The sequence below is a fragment of the Homo sapiens genome, chromosome 6 (genome assembly GCF_000001405.40).
Source record: "Homo sapiens chromosome 6, GRCh38.p14 Primary Assembly".
Taxonomy (NCBI): Eukaryota; Metazoa; Chordata; class Mammalia; order Primates; family Hominidae; genus Homo; species Homo sapiens.
The window spans coordinates 17,618,266-17,636,225 of record NC_000006.12 but is presented as its reverse complement, the minus strand read 5'-3'; the positions used below and the strand labels follow the sequence as shown (position 1 = coordinate 17,636,225).

At 39.6% G+C, this 17,960-nt stretch overlaps 1 protein-coding gene and 1 pseudogene across 3 annotated transcripts in view, besides 1 other annotated feature; one reads left to right on the top strand and one right to left on the bottom strand.

Moving 5' to 3' along the window:
- The window catches only part of NUP153 (nucleoporin 153), a 91,889-nt gene that overhangs the window by 70,700 nt on the left and 3,229 nt on the right, over nt 1–17,960 (top strand). For all 3 annotated transcript variants that reach the window (NM_001278210.2, NM_005124.4, NM_001278209.2), the window contains 4 exons: nt 3,382–3,576; nt 6,687–7,571; nt 10,062–10,418; nt 11,393–11,665. In NM_001278210.2, the coding sequence (NP_001265139.1) occupies nt 3,382–3,576; nt 6,687–7,571; nt 10,062–10,418; nt 11,393–11,665 (1,710 nt within the window). The remainder of the gene's footprint in view (nt 1–3,381; nt 3,577–6,686; nt 7,572–10,061; nt 10,419–11,392; nt 11,666–17,960) is intronic.
- Nucleotides 2,642–2,842: a silencer, noted in NCBI's record as "peak5705 fragment used in MPRA reporter construct". NCBI's record gives its function as "represses an SCP1 promoter by STARR-seq MPRAs in K562 erythroleukemia cells {active_cell/tissue: K562}" and the evidence as "EXISTENCE:reporter gene assay evidence [ECO:0000049][PMID:32103011]".
- Nucleotides 16,592–16,693, bottom strand: RNU6-190P (RNA, U6 small nuclear 190, pseudogene; annotated as a pseudogene).

The window sequence follows — 17,960 nt, the reverse complement described above, 5'->3', positions numbered from 1 at the left end:
GTAGCTGGAATTACAGGTGCATGCCACCACACCCAACTAATTTTTTGTATTTTTAGTAGAGACAGGGTTTCGCCATGTTGGCCAGGCTGGTCTTGGACTCCTGACATCAAGTGATCTATCCGCCTTGGCCTTCCAAAGTGCTGGGATTACAGGCGTGAGCCACCATGCCCGGCCTAGAATCTTCATTATGAAATATTTTTGTCTTCCCATCTGGTTCCCCTGCTCACCTACAAAAAGAAAGCCCTTGATGTATGCAGGAAAGCAAAATTAATTTTAAGTTGAAGGGGAATAACAAAACTTTGAGTCAGGAAGTAATTTGTTACACATGAACAAAGGAAGCTCACATATGTATTAAAGAACTTGGATGTCCTCCTTTCAATGATGAACCATCATTTTCAGCAGAGGAGTGATACAGTCAAGTTTGTATTTTTGATGAGTCACTGGCTTTTTAGATAATGGATTTGAAAACAAAAAAATTTGGAGACCGGAAGATAGATTAGGAAGTGGTATCAATCATATAGGCAATAGGCCAGACACTGTGGCTCACGCCTGTAATCCCAGCACTGGGAGAAGCCAAGGCGGGTATATTGCTTGAACCCAGTTTAAGACCAGCCCGAGCAGCATGGTGAAGCACTGTCTCTACAAAAAACACAAAAATTAGCCTGGCTTGGTGGCACCCGCCTATAGTCCCAGCTACTTAGGAGGCCAAAGTGGGAGGATTGCTTGAGCTCGGGAGGTAGAGGTTGCAGTTACCTGAGATCATGCTACTGCGCTTCAGCCTGGGTGACAGAGTGAGACCCTGTCTCAAATAATGATAGGCCGGGTGCGGTGGCTTACACCTGTAATCCCAGCACTTTGGGAGGCCGAGGCGAGTGGATCACCAGGTCAGGAGATTGAGACCATCCTGGCTAACACAGTGAACCCCTGTCTCTACTAACAATACAAAAAATTAGCCGGGTGTGGTGGCGGGTGCCTGTAGTCCCAGCTACTCGGGAGGCTGAGGCAGGAGAATGGTGTGAATCTGGGAGGTGGAGCTTGCAGTGAGCCGAGATCATGCCACTGCACTCCAGCCTGGGCGACAGAGCGAGACTCCGTCTCAAAAAAAAAAAAAAAAAAAAAAAGATAAGCCAAGCTGTGCAACCTGTGGGCTGCATGTGGCTTAGGATGGCTATGAATGAGGCTCAACACAGATTTGTGAATTTTCTAAAACATTATGAGATTCTTTTGCGATTTATTTTTTTTTTTTATTTTTTAATTTGTTTTAAAGCTCATCAGCTGTTGCTAGTGTTAGTATATTTTACTTGTGGTCCAAGACAATTCTTTTTGTCCAGTGTGGACTAGGGAAGCCAAAAGATTGGACCACCCCCGCCTCCCCTGCTGATACAGGCAATAGATAATGTACTGATCGAACTGAATAAGGAATGGAGGACATAAAATTAAAGACGTTGATTTCAAGCTGCTGAAGTCAACATTCAGATGTATGTAATGTGACCAGGCATGGTGGCTCACGTCTGTAATCCCAGCACTTCGTGAGGCTGAGGCAGGCAGATCACCTGAGGTCAGGAGTTTGAGACCAGCCTGGCCAACATGGCAAAGCCCTGTCTCTACTAAAAATACAAAAATTAGCTGGGCGTGGTCGTGGATGCCCGTAATCCCAGCTACTTGGGAGGCAGAGGCAGGAGAATAGCTTGAACCTGGGAGGTGGAGGTTGCTGTGAGCTGAGATTGTGCCACTCTACTCCACCCTGGGCAACAGAGTGAGACTCTGTCTCAAAAAAAAAAAAATGTATGTAAGGCCTTTGGATACACCCTTTGGGTGGAGATACGGATTTGGGGTCATTAATCCATAGTTTTGATATTTGAAGTCATGAGAGTAGAGTTGAGTGTGTTCACTCAAGATGGCCTGAAATGAAAGTCCGCTAACTTACAGGGAGTGGCAGGAATAAAGCTTTTGAACAGTTAATCTTTTAAAAAGGTGCAACCAGAAAGGAAAAACAAAAACTACATGGCACTGGTTGCTTCAGAGGAAGATGGATTTCAAAGGAACAGGATCAGAGGTCTCAATAAAAAAGCTGTTACTCAAGCAAGAGATGGGTTAGTGGTGGGAGTAATGGGGGGGGTTCATGAACCAGAATAGCAGTAGAAGAGTCAGAAATTGATTGAAATAGATTTGAGAAAAATGTAGAGGAGGAGGAGTATCCAGCCAAGCTAACCAAGTAAGACAGTGGAGTCACCAACTAAGAGACTACAGTGACAAGCTCAGAAGTGTAGATTGCAGGTGTAGATTAGGAAACTGTTTTTTGGGGATTTAAAAACCACTGGAGTAAATGAGAGTTTGTGAGGACAGTGGGCCAAGATGGAACCCCAGGGAGCAATTTGGTTGGCAAGATGGAAGAGAACATACCTATAAAATGTAGAGATCAGTTAGGTAACTATGGAAGAGGTGGCGACAGTTGTAGGCCATCTAGAGAAGTAGGAATACCAGAATGAATGGCTTCACTGTCAGCACTATATTTTGGGCCTTACCAAGCCGTTCTTCCTGTGCCACCTCTCCCACAAACATGCTAGTTTTGCTTAAGATTTGTCACCTCTGTGTATCCTTTTCCTGCCTCTTAGTCATTTCTTCCTTCTTTGCACACTTGTTTTAGGTTGTCACTTGGTGATGGTGCCACTGTGCTTTTATTTTCCCCCTTTAAGACCATGAGCATCTTACAAGTTAAGCAACATTTTATTCATCTTTAATGTCCCCAGAACCCAAGTATATTATGATGCTTAATAAATGTCTGTTAAATGGCTAGCATGTAACAAATGTCAGGAATGTAGTAGGTGTCAAGTTAGATTGTGAAGTGGATGTGAAGTAGATGCACTTCTGTGCAAAAGCTATCATTCAGAGGCAGAGATCTATGCTTTCAAATCTTGAAATTCATATGGTCTGTGGCTGTGTATTTTATATGTTAGGATATTGCCTACAATTTACATCTTATGTCTTAGAATGCTTGCTGCTTTGAAGAAATTTGAAAAAGATTCTTAAGAAAAATTTAGTCTTTGAGCCCCTAATTTGCGAGCATGATTTTTTTTCTTAAACCACAGCAGTTCAAACATGTGGTTAAGGGGGAGCTCACCAGTGAGCAAGGTGATTATGAGCTGCTCATTTATAAGGTTAAAAGAAATCATTTATAAGGTTAAAAGAGAGGTCTATTCTTTTTTTTAAACAATGTAAATATGAACAGTTGTCTATTTCTGGCACATTCTGTGTTTTAATAGGAAATATTATTAGAAACTGAACACTTAAACTTAGCAGTGCCATTAAGATACTGACATACTGTAAATTAAAATTTTCATGAAATCTCCCCCCACTCCCCGTTTTTTTTTTTTTTTTTAGGAAGTTCAGTACCTGCTTCAAGTAGCAGCACTGTACCTGTCTCTCTGCCTTCTGGAGGCTCTCTAGGATTGGAAAAGTTCAAGAAACCCGAGGGAAGCTGGGACTGTGAATTGTGCCTAGTGCAGAATAAGGCAGACTCTACCAAATGTTTGGCATGTGAAAGTGCAAAGCCAGGCACAAAATCTGGGTTTAAAGGTAAGGCCAAAAAAATAAAAATAAAGGTGATGGTAAAGCGCCTTTTTGTAAGGCCATTTAAAAATGAAGTATTTGAGAACAGCTTCAGTGTTCACTCATTCTCTCTTGAAAATTAATATAAAATGAGATTATCCTGAGATGTTTTAGTTATATCTGTTTCTGAATATTGTAAGGTCATATTAGTTGCTTGTCAACAGTGAGGTATCTTTTCTCCAGGTGGGAAAAAAAATTTCTTGTGTCATTGAGCCTCAGAGAGTTTTTGTTTTTTGTTTTTAACTGCTAGCCCCCTAGGTGAACTGTTCTTTGTTTTTTTGTTTGTTTGTTTTTTTGTTTGTTTGTTTGTTTGTTTTTGAGACAGTTTTGTTCTTTTGCCCAGGCTGGAGTACGGGGGCGCGATCTCTGCTCACTGCAATCTCCGCCTCCCAGGTTCAAGCAATTCCCTGCCTCAGCCTCCCAAGTAGCTGGGATTACAGGTGTGAGCCACCGCGCCCAGATGAACTTACTGACTTTTATTTGACTGGGAATACACCTCTAAATTAAAAGCGATACAGGCTGTGGCTTTGGTTTCCCAAAGTAGGTCCCAGGAAAAGAACTCTTAATATTTTACTATATAAGTACAAAGGAAGACTCCCTCAAAGTAATTAATCCTAAACTAACTGGAGGCCAGATTTTTGTGTTTTTTTTGAGATGGTGTCTTGCTCTGTCGCCCAGGCCGGAGTGCAGTGGCCGATCTCTGCTCACTGCAAGCTCCGCCTCCTGGGTTCATGCCATTCTCCTGCTTCAGCCTCCCGAGTAGCTGGGACTACAGGAACCTGCCACCACGCCTAGCTAATTTTTTGTGTTTTTAGTAGAGACGGGGGTTTCACCATGTTAGCCAGGATGGTCTCAATCTCCTGACTTCGTGATCCACCCGCCTCGGCCTCCCAAAGTGCTGGGATTACAGGCGTGAGCCAACACGCCTGGTCTGGAGGCCAGATTTTTCAAGTCTTCTGTAAAAGAGTAAGCCCGCAAGGAGAAAATGTGTGAGGATTAATGTCTTGAAACAACTCAGACAGATATTTCATCTTCTTACTTATAAGTTGTAGCTAAATAAAGTGTACTCAGTGGACAGAGTGTAGACCCCTAGAACGGTGAGAGGATGGGATGGGGGGTAGATGATGAGAAATTAATTAATGGGCACAATGTACATTATTTGGGTGATGAATATACTAAAAGCCCAAACTTCACTGCCAGGCAACATATCCATGTAACAAAATTGCACTGGTAATCCTTAAATTTATACAAATTAAACAAAAATAATAGCAAGCTTTATCTACTTTGTAATTAGCTTTCAAACTCTTGATTGCAAACCAAAAGTCAGGAATAAACCTTTTATATTGTGAGCCATCACCTGCACAGCGTATATGTCTATATGATTGAAATCTGTTTTGCAAAATAATACTTGCCTCTGGTAGGTGTAAGGTTCCCTGGTATTTTCTGTTTTATTTTATTTTAAAAGAGAAGTGCTGGTTGCAGCCTGCTAAATTAATTGATGATTAATGGTATACAACTAGCAGTTTGAAAAACACTGCATTTAAGTGTTTTAGAAGTTTGTGCTTTCTGGTTCATTTTATCTCTTTCTGTAGCTGTTAATTCATGCTCCCCTTTTTATACTGTTCTCTACCTGTAGTGTGGTAATCACCATACTTTTAAGTATCTTAGTACTTCTTAATGATCCTTGTTTTGAGCCAGTAGGTCAAGTACTTCATTTCTGATTTCCTTAGCTGCAGAAAAGCATTATGAAACCAAGACTTTGATCTTGTCAGTATAATGCTTGCTCTCTTCTCTTTTCTCTTCTCTCCTCTCTCTTCTCTCCTGTCTTCTCTCTTCTCTCCTCTCCCCTCTCCCCTCTCCCCTCCCTTCTCCCCTCCCCTCTCCCCTCTTGTCTCCCCTCCCCTCTCGTCTCCCGTCTCCTCTGCTCTCCTCTGTTTTCTTTTCTTTATTTATTTTGAAGTGGAGTCTCACTGTTGACCGGGCTGGAGTGCTGTGGCGCAATCTTGGCTCACTGCAACTTCTACCTCCCGGGCTCAAGCAATTCTCCTGCCTCAGCCTCTCAAGCAGCTGAGACTACAGGCACAGACCACCATGCCTGGCTGATTTTTTTTGTATTTTTAGTAGAGATGGGGTTTCGCCATGTTGGCCAGGCTGGTCTTGAACTCCTGACCTCGGGTGATCTGCCCGCCTTGGCCTCCCAAAGTGCTGGGATTCCAAGCGTGAGCTACCACGCCCAGTCTGATGTTTAACTTTATAAACATTGCTTCAACTCTGTAATTCTTCTGTTTTTCTGTTGCCTTCCTTTTTTAAATGCTTGAGTGAATAACACATTTATTCACAAGATTTAAAAATCAAGAAATTGTGACAAGGTTCAATCTCTTCTCTCCATTGTCTCTTTTTCCACCTTCCCTCCCACTTCCAAATGTAACTGTGGTTAGTTTCTTGTAAATCTTTCAAAGTTTCTTTATGCCCATCCAAGGCAAACATACATACCCCTATATATTCTTACTTCCTTTTACCTTGTTAGAAAAGTCTGTATACCGCACTCCCTTTCTGCCCCTTTGATTTTATCAGGGATTATCTTGGACACATCTTTGTTCTTCCTTCTTCGTTTATAGCTGCCTGGATTGCATATGGCATTTTGCATGTCTATGAGTTTATCTTTAAAACAAACTCCAGCTATAGAATTGCAAGGTCAAAGGGTATATGCATTTGTAATTTTCGGTAACTATTGACAGATTGCTCTCTATGAGTTTTGTGTTCATTTATACACCCACCTGCAATGTGTAGCCTGTTACTTCCAGTCTCATCACTAGTACAAACTTTATCAAACTTTATCGCAGCCAGTCTGATAAATGAAAAGTGGCTTGTCAGGATAGTTGTGAGGATTGAGATATCATTCTCATACCGACTAAATATAGGTCACCTTGGATTATGTTTACAGCTGCTGGTAATACTCTTCAAAGTAGGCCCTTTCAAAGTTACTCCTATGTTTCTTTGGCTTTCACAGTGTTTACATTTTGTTTGAGAGGATCAGTACATTGAGTGTCTATGTGGTGTCTTTTATATTTTTGTAGGCTTTGACACATCTTCCTCATCTTCGAACTCAGCAGCCTCCTCATCCTTCAAATTTGGTGTCTCATCATCCTCTTCTGGGCCTTCTCAGACTTTAACAAGCACTGGAAATTTTAAATTTGGAGATCAGGGAGGATTCAAAATAGGTGTGTCATCCGATTCTGGGTCTATAAACCCCATGAGTGAAGGCTTTAAATTTTCTAAACCAATAGGAGATTTTAAATTTGGAGTTTCATCTGAATCTAAGCCCGAAGAAGTTAAAAAAGATAGTAAGAATGATAATTTTAAGTTTGGACTTTCTTCTGGTTTAAGCAACCCAGTTTCTTTAACTCCATTTCAATTTGGGGTATCTAATCTTGGACAGGAAGAAAAGAAAGAGGAACTGCCCAAATCTTCCTCTGCAGGTTTTAGCTTTGGTACAGGTGTTATTAACTCCACCCCTGCTCCTGCTAACACCATAGTGACCTCTGAGAACAAGAGCAGCTTCAACCTTGGAACCATAGAAACCAAGAGTGCTTCAGTGGCTCCTTTCACATGTAAGACATCAGAAGCTAAAAAAGAAGAAATGCCTGCCACCAAAGGAGGATTCTCTTTTGGCAACGTGGAGCCTGCCTCTCTGCCATCTGCCTCAGTGTTTGTTTTGGGAAGGACAGAAGAGAAACAGCAAGAGCCTGTCACTTCTACTTCCCTAGTTTTTGGGAAGAAAGCTGACAATGAAGAGCCAAAGTGTCAACCAGTGTTTTCCTTTGGGAATTCAGAGCAAACCAAAGATGAGAATTCTTCAAAGTCCACATTTAGTTTTAGTATGACAAAACCATCTGAGAAGGAATCTGAACAGCCAGCAAAAGCCACTTTTGCCTTTGGAGCTCAAACTAGTACTACAGCTGGTAAGTATTAACTTTTTATTATTATTATTATTATTTTTTTTTTTACAAGTTGTCGTTTTACAAGTTGCCTTGACAGATGCAGCAAGTCAATTAATGGTTTACACTGAACATAGTTGAGAAATACAGAACTCTTTGGGAAGGAACCTAGGATTTTCAGTTTGAACTGCTCTTTAAAACCCTCATGATTCTGGTGAAGTCATCTGTGGATCTAATTTTGAGAAATACAGCAGTAATGCAAAGCTCAATATAGTGCATATTTATGTGTGTCTTTCTCTTCTGTTTGGGCTTTTATAATCAGAATTGGTATCTACTACCTGGAAAATAAGGATTCTTAGCTTATGAAGTATTTTCTACCATAATCTATGGGAAGGCCTTTATTTACAAATAGTTACAGATAACCAGTCCTCATCAAACATTAAGAAACATAGACAACAAATATAATTAATCCTGAGAAAACAAGAGATTTTGAAAGCTGAAGTCCTGGGGAAAAAAATGACATAGCACCTTAAAGGTTAAAAGCATGATTGTTGGTGGATCCTATTAAAGTCATTCTGTGAGCTGAATAGCAGGAAGAACTTCATAGCTGATAATCAGATTAGTGAACTAGAATTTCCCCAAACTTAGTGCACCAGTACAAAGAGTGATCCAAGTTAGATCCACAAGTTCCTTTGGGATAGGAGTGGCCTAGAAGATAAGAAGTTTTGGGGAAATATCAAAGAAGTGACAGAAGAAAATTTTCTAGATCTAAAGAAAGACATTGGTCTTAAAAATGGAAATTACCTATTGGCAAAGATCACTGAAATTTAGGACACCAAAGCTAAAACCCCAAATGCTTTCAGAGAGAAAAGCTATTTGCCACAAATAGGCAGGTATCAGATTAGCATCATCTTCTAATTTGTAACATCACATGCTAAAAACAACAGTGCCCTTAAAGTGAAAATGTTCTTGAACCTAGAATTCTGTTACTAGCCAAATGTGTTTAAATATAAAGACAATCCGGGTGCCGTAGCTCACACCTATAATCCCAACTAGTCGGGAGGCTGAAGCACAAGAATCTCTTGAACCTGGGAGGCGGAGGTGGCAGTGAGCAGAGATTGGCCCAGTGCACTCCAGCTTGGGCAACAGAACAAGGCTCTGTCTCAAGAAAACCCAACAACAACAAAAAAACACCAACACAAAGGCAAAATACAGATGTTTTTAGATGTGCAAAAAATGCAAAAGTTGAATATCCATGAATACTTTTGAATAATAAATTGGAAACACTCAAAATTAACCTTTAAAAAGTATGGAATTCAACAAATAGCTATGAGCAGTTTTTTGTCTGTTATATATTTACTTAGAAATATAAAGACAAAATCAAAACTAAAATTACATATTATTTGGAAAGCAACAAAAACATGATAGGGTCTAATCAGATTTGATGATGAAAACACCAGGCTATGGTAGACACTCTTAACCATTCTTCCATTAGCCAGGTTGAAAGTAAGCCAACATGTTCCATTTTCTGTAAGTCATACTAATGCCCATAGTGTACTGTGACCAGCCCTGGATAGTGTGCGGTATTGGAACTGAGAGATTATTGGAATAGTTTAGAAAAAAATCTTCAATAAGGTGGCTGGATTCAGAATCACCATATAAAAATCAAAAGTTTTTCTTCAAATCAGCATGTCTCATTTGTTTTTCCTAACATTTCTAACTTGTATTTTATAAAAGCAGCAGAACTTGTAACATGCCAAATAACTAAAAGAACACAAAAGGCATACTTGTTGCTGGGTGAAGGTATTCCCTTCCTCCTCCCATAATTTTAGTTCTTAGGGGAATTTTTGTAGAGCTTGACAAGCTAAACTTATTCTAAAATTCACATGGAAAGGAAACCACACAAGAAATTTTGGGAAGAAGGGCAGGCACACAGGCAGCTTTGTCCTACTAATATCAGTCCATGGTATAAAGTTATAATAATTAAAACAGTCTAGTGATAACAGTAGAGGAAACAAGTATATGCATTTTAGGAAATGTAGTGTGTGATAAAGACAGCATTGCAAATTAGTGCACAAAGGCTGTACTAGTTGATGCTGTGGAGAAACTTGGCTATCCATTTAGATAAATTGAAGTTATGATTTTGCCACATACTGTAATATAAATTGCAAAATAAAACATATAAAAGTACAGCTGTCTTCCACTATCTAAGCTTGCTATTCAACTACAGTATCCAGTTAGATTTGGATTCGAGGTGTATTTTTATTAACCTGAATGCCAAAGGCCTTCCTATGAAAGGCCTAAAATCCATAAGCTATAAAAGAAGATGAATGTATTTGACTTTGTCAAAATCTAATATAAACAGATGTCCATTTGATGAAGTAATCTATATAAAAAATCTATTTTCTAGCGAATTCTAGGGTAGGAAAATTCTAGCAATTGTAGGGTAGGAAAAAGTACTTTCTGAGACTATTCTTAAGGATTTATGTTTGTTTCTTAATTTCTGTCTTACAGATCAAGGTGCAGCAAAGCCAGTTTTTAGTTTCTTGAACAACAGTTCCTCTAGTTCAAGTACACCAGCCACTTCTGCTGGTGGTGGCATATTTGGTAGTTCCACCTCTTCCTCCAATCCACCTGTGGCTACCTTTGTGTTTGGACAGTCCAGCAATCCTGTGAGCAGCTCTGCCTTTGGTAACACTGCTGAATCCAGCACCTCTCAGTCTTTGCTATTTTCTCAAGATAGCAAACTAGCAACCACATCCAGCACAGGTACAGCTGTCACCCCATTTGTCTTTGGTCCAGGAGCCAGCAGTAATAATACTACCACCTCTGGTTTCGGCTTTGGAGCCACAACCACATCTAGCTCTGCAGGTACATTTACAAAAGAAAAAATGCATTGTAATTGGATGGACTTTACTTATTAGTGTGTCAGTTCTTAGCGAATATCATATAGCAGGTTATCACAAAATGGTGGGAATGCCTTTTGGTCATCTATACCAGGGTTGTTTTAATTATTCACTGTATGGAATAATGTACACTCTCTGTGTTCAACTTTAACATATTTACCTCTTGGGAGCAATTTTTCTAATTGTGGTAAGAGTGTAATACTTAATTTTTCTAAGCTTTGTTTTTTGTTTTTGTTTTCTTTCGAGACGGAGTCTTGCTCTGTCACCCAGGCTGGAGTGCAGTGGTGCAATCTCAGCTCACTGCAACCTGCCTCTCCCGAGTTCAAGCAATTCTCCTGCCTCAGCCTCCTGAGTAGCTGGGATTACAGGTGCCCGCCACCACACCCACCTAATTTTTGTATTTTTAGTAGAGATGGGGTTTTACCATGTTGGCCAGGCTCGAATTCCTGACCTCATGATTTGCCCGCCTCGGCCTTTCAAAGTGCTGAGATTACAGGTGTGAGCCACTGTGCCTGGCCCCAAGCTTTGTTTTTAAAATGTTAGGTTGTCAGTAACCAGACACTGGAAGTTGTTTTATTAAACATCAGTCTTTATTATGCAATGTATATATGCACATCATGAGGCAATTTCTGCACACATTAAATTTCTGGTGGGAGATTATTCTGAGATATGTTCCTTTACCAGAAATTGTCGGCTGTAAAGGTGTGGAGTAGTTGTTAATTGCAGTTTTTGTTTATATGAATTTAGTATGTTTCACTAAATAATGGTAGAGAGCGTTGTATTCTCAATCATTATTTAAAACTTGTCTTGATGGAATTTGGTTAGCAAGGTAAGAGTCTGAAACGAAGCTTGACATTTGCTTGTGGGTTTACAGAAATTTCTTGAGGATAATCTGACATTAGCCACCATGGTGACTTAAGTGTTTCTTTGGGCCTCCAGGATCCTCCTTTGTATTTGGAACTGGACCCTCAGCACCATCTGCCAGTCCAGCATTTGGTGCTAACCAGACCCCAACATTTGGACAAAGTCAAGGTGCCAGCCAGCCCAATCCCCCAGGCTTTGGATCTATATCATCTTCCACAGCATTATTTCCCACTGGTTCTCAGCCTGCACCACCTACTTTTGGGACAGTGTCAAGCAGTAGCCAGCCCCCTGTGTTTGGACAGCAACCTAGTCAGTCTGCATTTGGCTCTGGAACAACTCCTAATTCTAGTAAGTGTGCTGTGATGCTGTTAGTATCTGTATGGGTTTTGTGTGTCTTAAAATATTTTCCTTTGAGCTTGGAAACCATTCATATGTCTAATTTTAAAATTATCTCTTGTACTTGGCAGAATAGAGAGGTAATATGGTTGGATTTATATATAAACAACATTCGCAGGTTTCACAGACTTGTAACTTTTTTAAGGTAGTAATGTATTTTAAAGTGTTAATTTTTACTCTGACTTAAGTATGGGATTCATTCACTCTCATTTCTTCTCAACTTTGAATTTTTGGGCTTGCAAGGCTAGCTTTGAAGTGCATTTTCTGATCCTGTTTATGATTGGATTTGCGTTAGGAAGTTACCCCCAGGTCCAGTGCTCTCTCCTGGGGCAGTCCCGCTGAGTTGTCTCATGACACTTTCTATTTACTGATGATACCAGCCTTTCCATTTGAACTGCATATTTAAATATGACTAATCAAATTGTATTATAATCCTATATTTTCTTAAAATTGTTGTTGATTTTTTTCTAATTGTGAAATATAATATTATGTAGAAAGGGGTGTAAAATATAAGTGAACAGTGTAATATTGAAGCAAATGCTGTATAACAACCACCTGGAAGCCCCTCATGTATCTCTTTTTGAAAACACTCCTCTCTTTCTCCACTCTAATGATGACCACCGCCTTGTCTTTTATGGTAATCACTGTTCTTTGGGTTTTATTACTGCATTTATTGGCTAATAGATGCATCCCTAGAAAATGTAGTTTTGCCTGCTTTTATATAAATGGAATATTACTGCATGCAGTCTTTTGATTTGTGATTGTTTTGCTCTAAGGCTTGTAAGGGTCATCCATGTTTTGCATATAGTTTGTTTATTGTCATTGCCATAGAGTAAATCATTGTATGAATATACTGCAGTTTATTTACTGTTGACATATGTTTCAGTTGTTTTTAACTACTAGGAAATGCTACTCTGTACATTCTTGTATATGTACCTTGGTGCACATATGTATGTTTTTCTAGAGTATATACAGTGGCATGGGATTGCTGAATTAAAAGGTTTGTATATCTTATACTAGAAGATAATAAAAACTTTTCCTGATGGATTCTGCCAATTCATATCCTACCACCATTGTATGAGTTCTTATATGTGGGTTCTATTTGATTTCTCATGTGTGTAAATTGTTTTAAAAGGTTTTTTTTTTTTTTTTTTTGGCCATTTTTCAGTTTGGCTTTTGCGTGTAAGTTTGTAGAGGTTCTTTATGTATTCTGGATATTGGTACTTTGTCAGCTAATGTACATACCAAAATTTCTCCTGTTTTCTGATATACATTAACCATTTTGATCAGGATTTTTTCCTCTAATATGAAATTGGAAAGTTTCTATTTCTTTCACACAGGTAACATTTTCCTCTGTTGTCATCGTCTTTTTTTTTTTTTTTTGAGACAGAATCTCACTGTGTCGCCCATGCTGGAGTGCAGTGGCTTGATCTCCGCTCACTGCAACCTCCGCTTCCCGGGTTCAAGTGATTCTTCTGCCTCAGCCTCCCAAGTAGCTGGGACTACAGGCACGTGCCACCACACCTGGCTGATTTTTTATATTTTTAGTAGAGATGGGGTTTCACCGTGTTAGCCAGGGTGGTCTTGATCTCCTGACCTCATGATCCACCCACCTCGGCCTCCCACAGTGCTGGGATTACAGGTGTGAGCCACCACGCCCAGCCTTTATCTGCTTAATATAGAGACACTGTAAGGTTAGATCAGGATTCTGATTATGGAAATGCTGATTATTGCTGAGCCATATGGTATACTATAACTTTCTATCCTATACAAAATTTGTTTCTCTGACATTATTGACTTCCTCTCTTTATTTTTTTTTTATGTAAAGAGCAATCAATTTTATAAACTAAATACAAAGAAAAAGTCAATTTTAGGAGATCTTTCTTCCAGTTAAAGAATTGAGAAAAGGCTACAGAGGCCCTAAAAATTAGAGTCACACTGTTGTTGAAACTTGGGGAAAGACAGCATTTTAGGGTTGAGGTTCTCAGTTCTATAACAAGGTAGACCTGGATAGTAAAGATGTTAGAAAATCCTTTTTTAAATTTTTTGAGACAGGGTCTCACCTTGCCGCACAAACTGGAGTACAGTGGTGGAATCTCGGCTCACTACTGCCTCAACCTGCTGGGCTCAAGCCATCCTCCTGCCTGAGCCTGCCAAGAAACTGGGACTACAGGCAGACACCACCACTACACCCATCTGTTTCATTTTTGGAGGGGGGCGTGGTTTGTAGAGACAGGGTTTTGCCATGTTATCCAGGCTGGTCTCTAACTCCCGAGCTCAAGCAGTCCACCCACCTCAGCCTCCTAAAGTGCTAGGATTACAGGCGTGAGCTACTGTGCCCAGCCAAGATGTTAGAAAACTCTTGACTCTGGGTAGCAGCATAACTGTCCAAAAAAACACAAAACAAAACAAAAGAAAAGCCATGCTACAAAGTCTAGTGAAGGTCATTCCCACAGAAAACACAAAGCATTAATTTTTGTCATACATAGAAATATAGTTTTAGTAATAATCCAAAAGCATTTTTGATAAAAATGAAAAACTTTAAAAAAATATTTTAAAGTTTTTCATTTTTAAAAACTGATGTGTTATTTTGTTACATACATACAATGTGTAATAAATTAGGGCATTTAGGATATCCATCACCTTGAACATTCATCATTTCTTTGTGTTGGGAACATTTCAGAACTTCTAGCTATTTTGAAATGTACAATAAATTATTGTTAACTCTACTGTGCTCTCAAATACTAGAATTTATTCCTTCTATCTAGCTATATGTTTGTATTCGTTAACCACCTTCCCTTCCTACCACCACCCCAACGAAGCCTCTGAACCATCATTTGTTCTCTACCTTTATGAGATCAACTTGTTTTTTAGCTCCTACACATGAGTGAGAACATTGAATATGTGTCTTTGTGCCTGGCTTATTTCACCTAACATAATGTCCTTCAGTGCCATAGATGTTGTAGTAAATGACAAGATGTTATTTTCTTTTAATGACCAAATAGTATTTTATTGTATATTAAACCACATTTTCTGTATCCATCTGTTGATGGACACTTAGATTGATTCCGTATCTTGGCTGTTGTGAATAGTGCTGCACTAAACATCAGGTACAGGTGTCTCTTTGATATACTGATTTCCTCTCCTTTGGATAAATAGCCAGTAGTGGGATTGCTGGATCATAAGGTGATTCTATTTTTAGATTTTTTGAGAAACTTCCTTACTGTTTTCCATAACGGTTATACTAATTTACATTCACTCCAACAGTGTGTAAGTTTCCATTTCCTTGCCAGCAGTTGTTAATTTTTGTCCTTTTGCTAATAGCCATTCTAAGAGGTGAAATGCTACCTCATTGTGGTTTTGATTTGCATTTCCCTTATGATAGTGATGTTGAGCATTTTTTCAGGTCTATTGGCCATTTGTGTGTTGTGTTTTAAGAAATGTCTGTTCAGATCCTTTGCCCGCTTTTCAGTGGGATTATTTGGTTGTTTTTGTTTTGCTGTTGAGTTCTTTGAGCTCATTGTGTATTCTGGATATTAGTCCCCTGTTGGATGAATAGTTAGCAAACTTTTTTTCCCTTTCAACAAATTTTTCACTCCTGATTGCTTCTTTTGCTGTGCAGAAGCTTTTCAGTTTAATATAGTCCCTCTTGTCTATTTTTGTTTTTGTTGCCTGTGCTTTTGATGTCTTAGCCATAAAATCTTTGCCTAGGCCAGGGGGGTCCTATCTTTTGGCTTCCAGGGGCTACTTTGGAAGAATTATTGTCTTCGGCCAAACACAAGATACATTAACACTAACAATAGCTGATGAACTGAAAAAGAAAATTGCCAAGAAAAAAAATCTCCACGTTTTAAGAAAGTTTATGAATTTGTGTTGGACGGCATTCAGAGCCATCCTGGGCTACATGTGGCCTCTCGGTTGGACAAGCTTGGCTTAGACCAATGTCCTGGAGCATTTCTCACTATGTTTTCTTCTAGGGGTTTTGTGGTCTCATGTCTTACACTTAAGTCTAATCCATTTTGAGTTGATTTTTGTATAGGGTGAGAAGTAGGGGTCTAGTTTCATACTGCATATGGATCTCCAGTTTTCCAAGCACCATTTACTGAAGAGAGTATCCTTTTCCCAATGCGTGTTCTTGTCATCATTGTCGAAAATCAGTTGGCTGTAAATACGTGGATTTGTTTCTGAATTCTCTATTCTATTCCATTGGTCTATGTGTCTTTTTATACCAGTCTCATATAGCTATATATGGTAAGTATAGCTTTGTGTAGTATATTTTGAAGTCAGATAGTATGATACCTCAGCTTTTTTCTTTTTGCTCAGGATTGCTTTAGCTATTTGGACTCCTGTGGTTCCATATGAATTTTAGGATTTGTTCCTCCCTCCCTTCCTTTTTTTTTTTTTTTTTTTTTTTTTTGATGGTGTCTTGCTCTGTTGCCCAGGCTGGAGTATAATGGTGCAATCTTGGCTCACTGCAGCCTCTGCCTCCCAGGTTCCAGCAATTCTCCTGCCTCAGCTTCCTGGGTAGCTGGGATTACAGGCGCGTGCCACCACACTTGGCTAATTTTTGTATTTTTAGTAGAGACGGGGTTTTGCCATGTTGGCCACGCTGGTCTCGAACTCCTGACCTCAGGTGATCTGCCCGCCTCGGCCTCCCAAACTGCTAGGATTATAGGTGTGAGCCACAGCGCCTGGCCGGATATGTTTCTATTTCTATGGAGAATGTCATTGGTATTTTTGGTAGGGATTGCATTGAATCCATAGATTGCTTTGAGTAGTATGGCCATTTTAACAATAATAGTTCTTCTGATCCATGAATATAGGATGTCTTTACATTTGTTTGTGTTCTCTTTAATTTCTTTCATCAGTTTTTAGTTTAAAAATATAGAACACTTCACAAATTTGGGTGTCATCCTTGTGCAGGGGGCCATGCTAATCTTCTTTGTTCAAGTTTTGGGTATGTGCTGCTGAAGTAAGCACTGAAAGAACTTTTCTCACAGGGTCTTTTAACCTGTTCCTCCTACCAGGCTTTCTTGGCTTGCTGTTTAACTGTGCTCTTGGGAAACCTCTTTTTACCATTCTTTTGGAGATTCCTTTTAGCTTCGTAGAGGAACCCGTTTCCTGGGTGTCATGTCTTTCCTGTTACTCCCCTATTTTCTGATACAGCACATCTTCCAGTGATTCTTGAGGGTTCAGGGATGGAAAACATTGAGGCCATACATCTCTGCAGGGATCTTTATTCTCTCCCCATGTTTGGTAAGATTTTGATTGAATATAGATGTAGATTGGAAATCATTTTTATAATTTTGAAAGCATTTCTCCATTGTAGACTTTTCTGGCTTCCAGAGTTGCCTGAAGTCTTGATCTTTGCTCTTTGGCCTGTTTCTTCTTTCTGGAATTGTTAGACTCTCCTCTTTTGCCTCCATTGTTCTGATACATCAGGATGTGTCTTGATGTGGGTTTGTTTTTATCGTTTGTGTAGGGAGTGCAGCATGCTCTTTTGTGAACTTCCATTTTGGGGAATTTTCCTGAATTATTTATTTGAAGATTTTGTCCCCTAATCCTTCCTTTCCTTCTTACCTTTTGTCTTTGTGTCATACTTTCTCAGATTTATCTTTCATTACCATTCTGTTGAGATTTTAACTTCTGCTGGGCGCAGTGGCTCACGCCTGTAATCCCAGCACTTTGGGAGGCCAAGGCGGGCAGATCACGAGGTCAGGATATCGAGACCATCCTGGCTAACACGGTGAAACCCCATCTCTACTAAGAAATACAAAAAATTAGCCAGGCGTGGTGGCGGGCGCCTGTAGTCCCAGCTACTCAGGAGACTGAGGCAGGAGAATGGCGTGAACTCGGGAGGTGGAGCTTGCAGTGAGCTGAGACCGTGCCACTGCACTCCAGCCTGGGCAACAGAGCCAGACTCCATCTTTAAAAAAAAAAAAAAAAAAAAGAGAGATTTTAACTTCCACTATTTCTTTAATTTCTAAGTATTCTTTTTTATTTTCTGGATGTTTCCTTTTTATGCCCCTCTGGGTTCCCCCCCACCCAACTCTCCAGTGGATGAAGTATTCATTAAAGATATGGAGTTCAGATTTTTCTCCTTAAAATTTTGTTTCTTTGCTGAGTCAGTTTTCCCAAAATTGCTTTTATTATTTTTGTCTCAGTGTTTCTTATTAAATACTGTCCTCAAATGCCTGGTACTCCTTGGCTACCTGTAGTTGTTATGAGTGTAGGACACGTAAATACC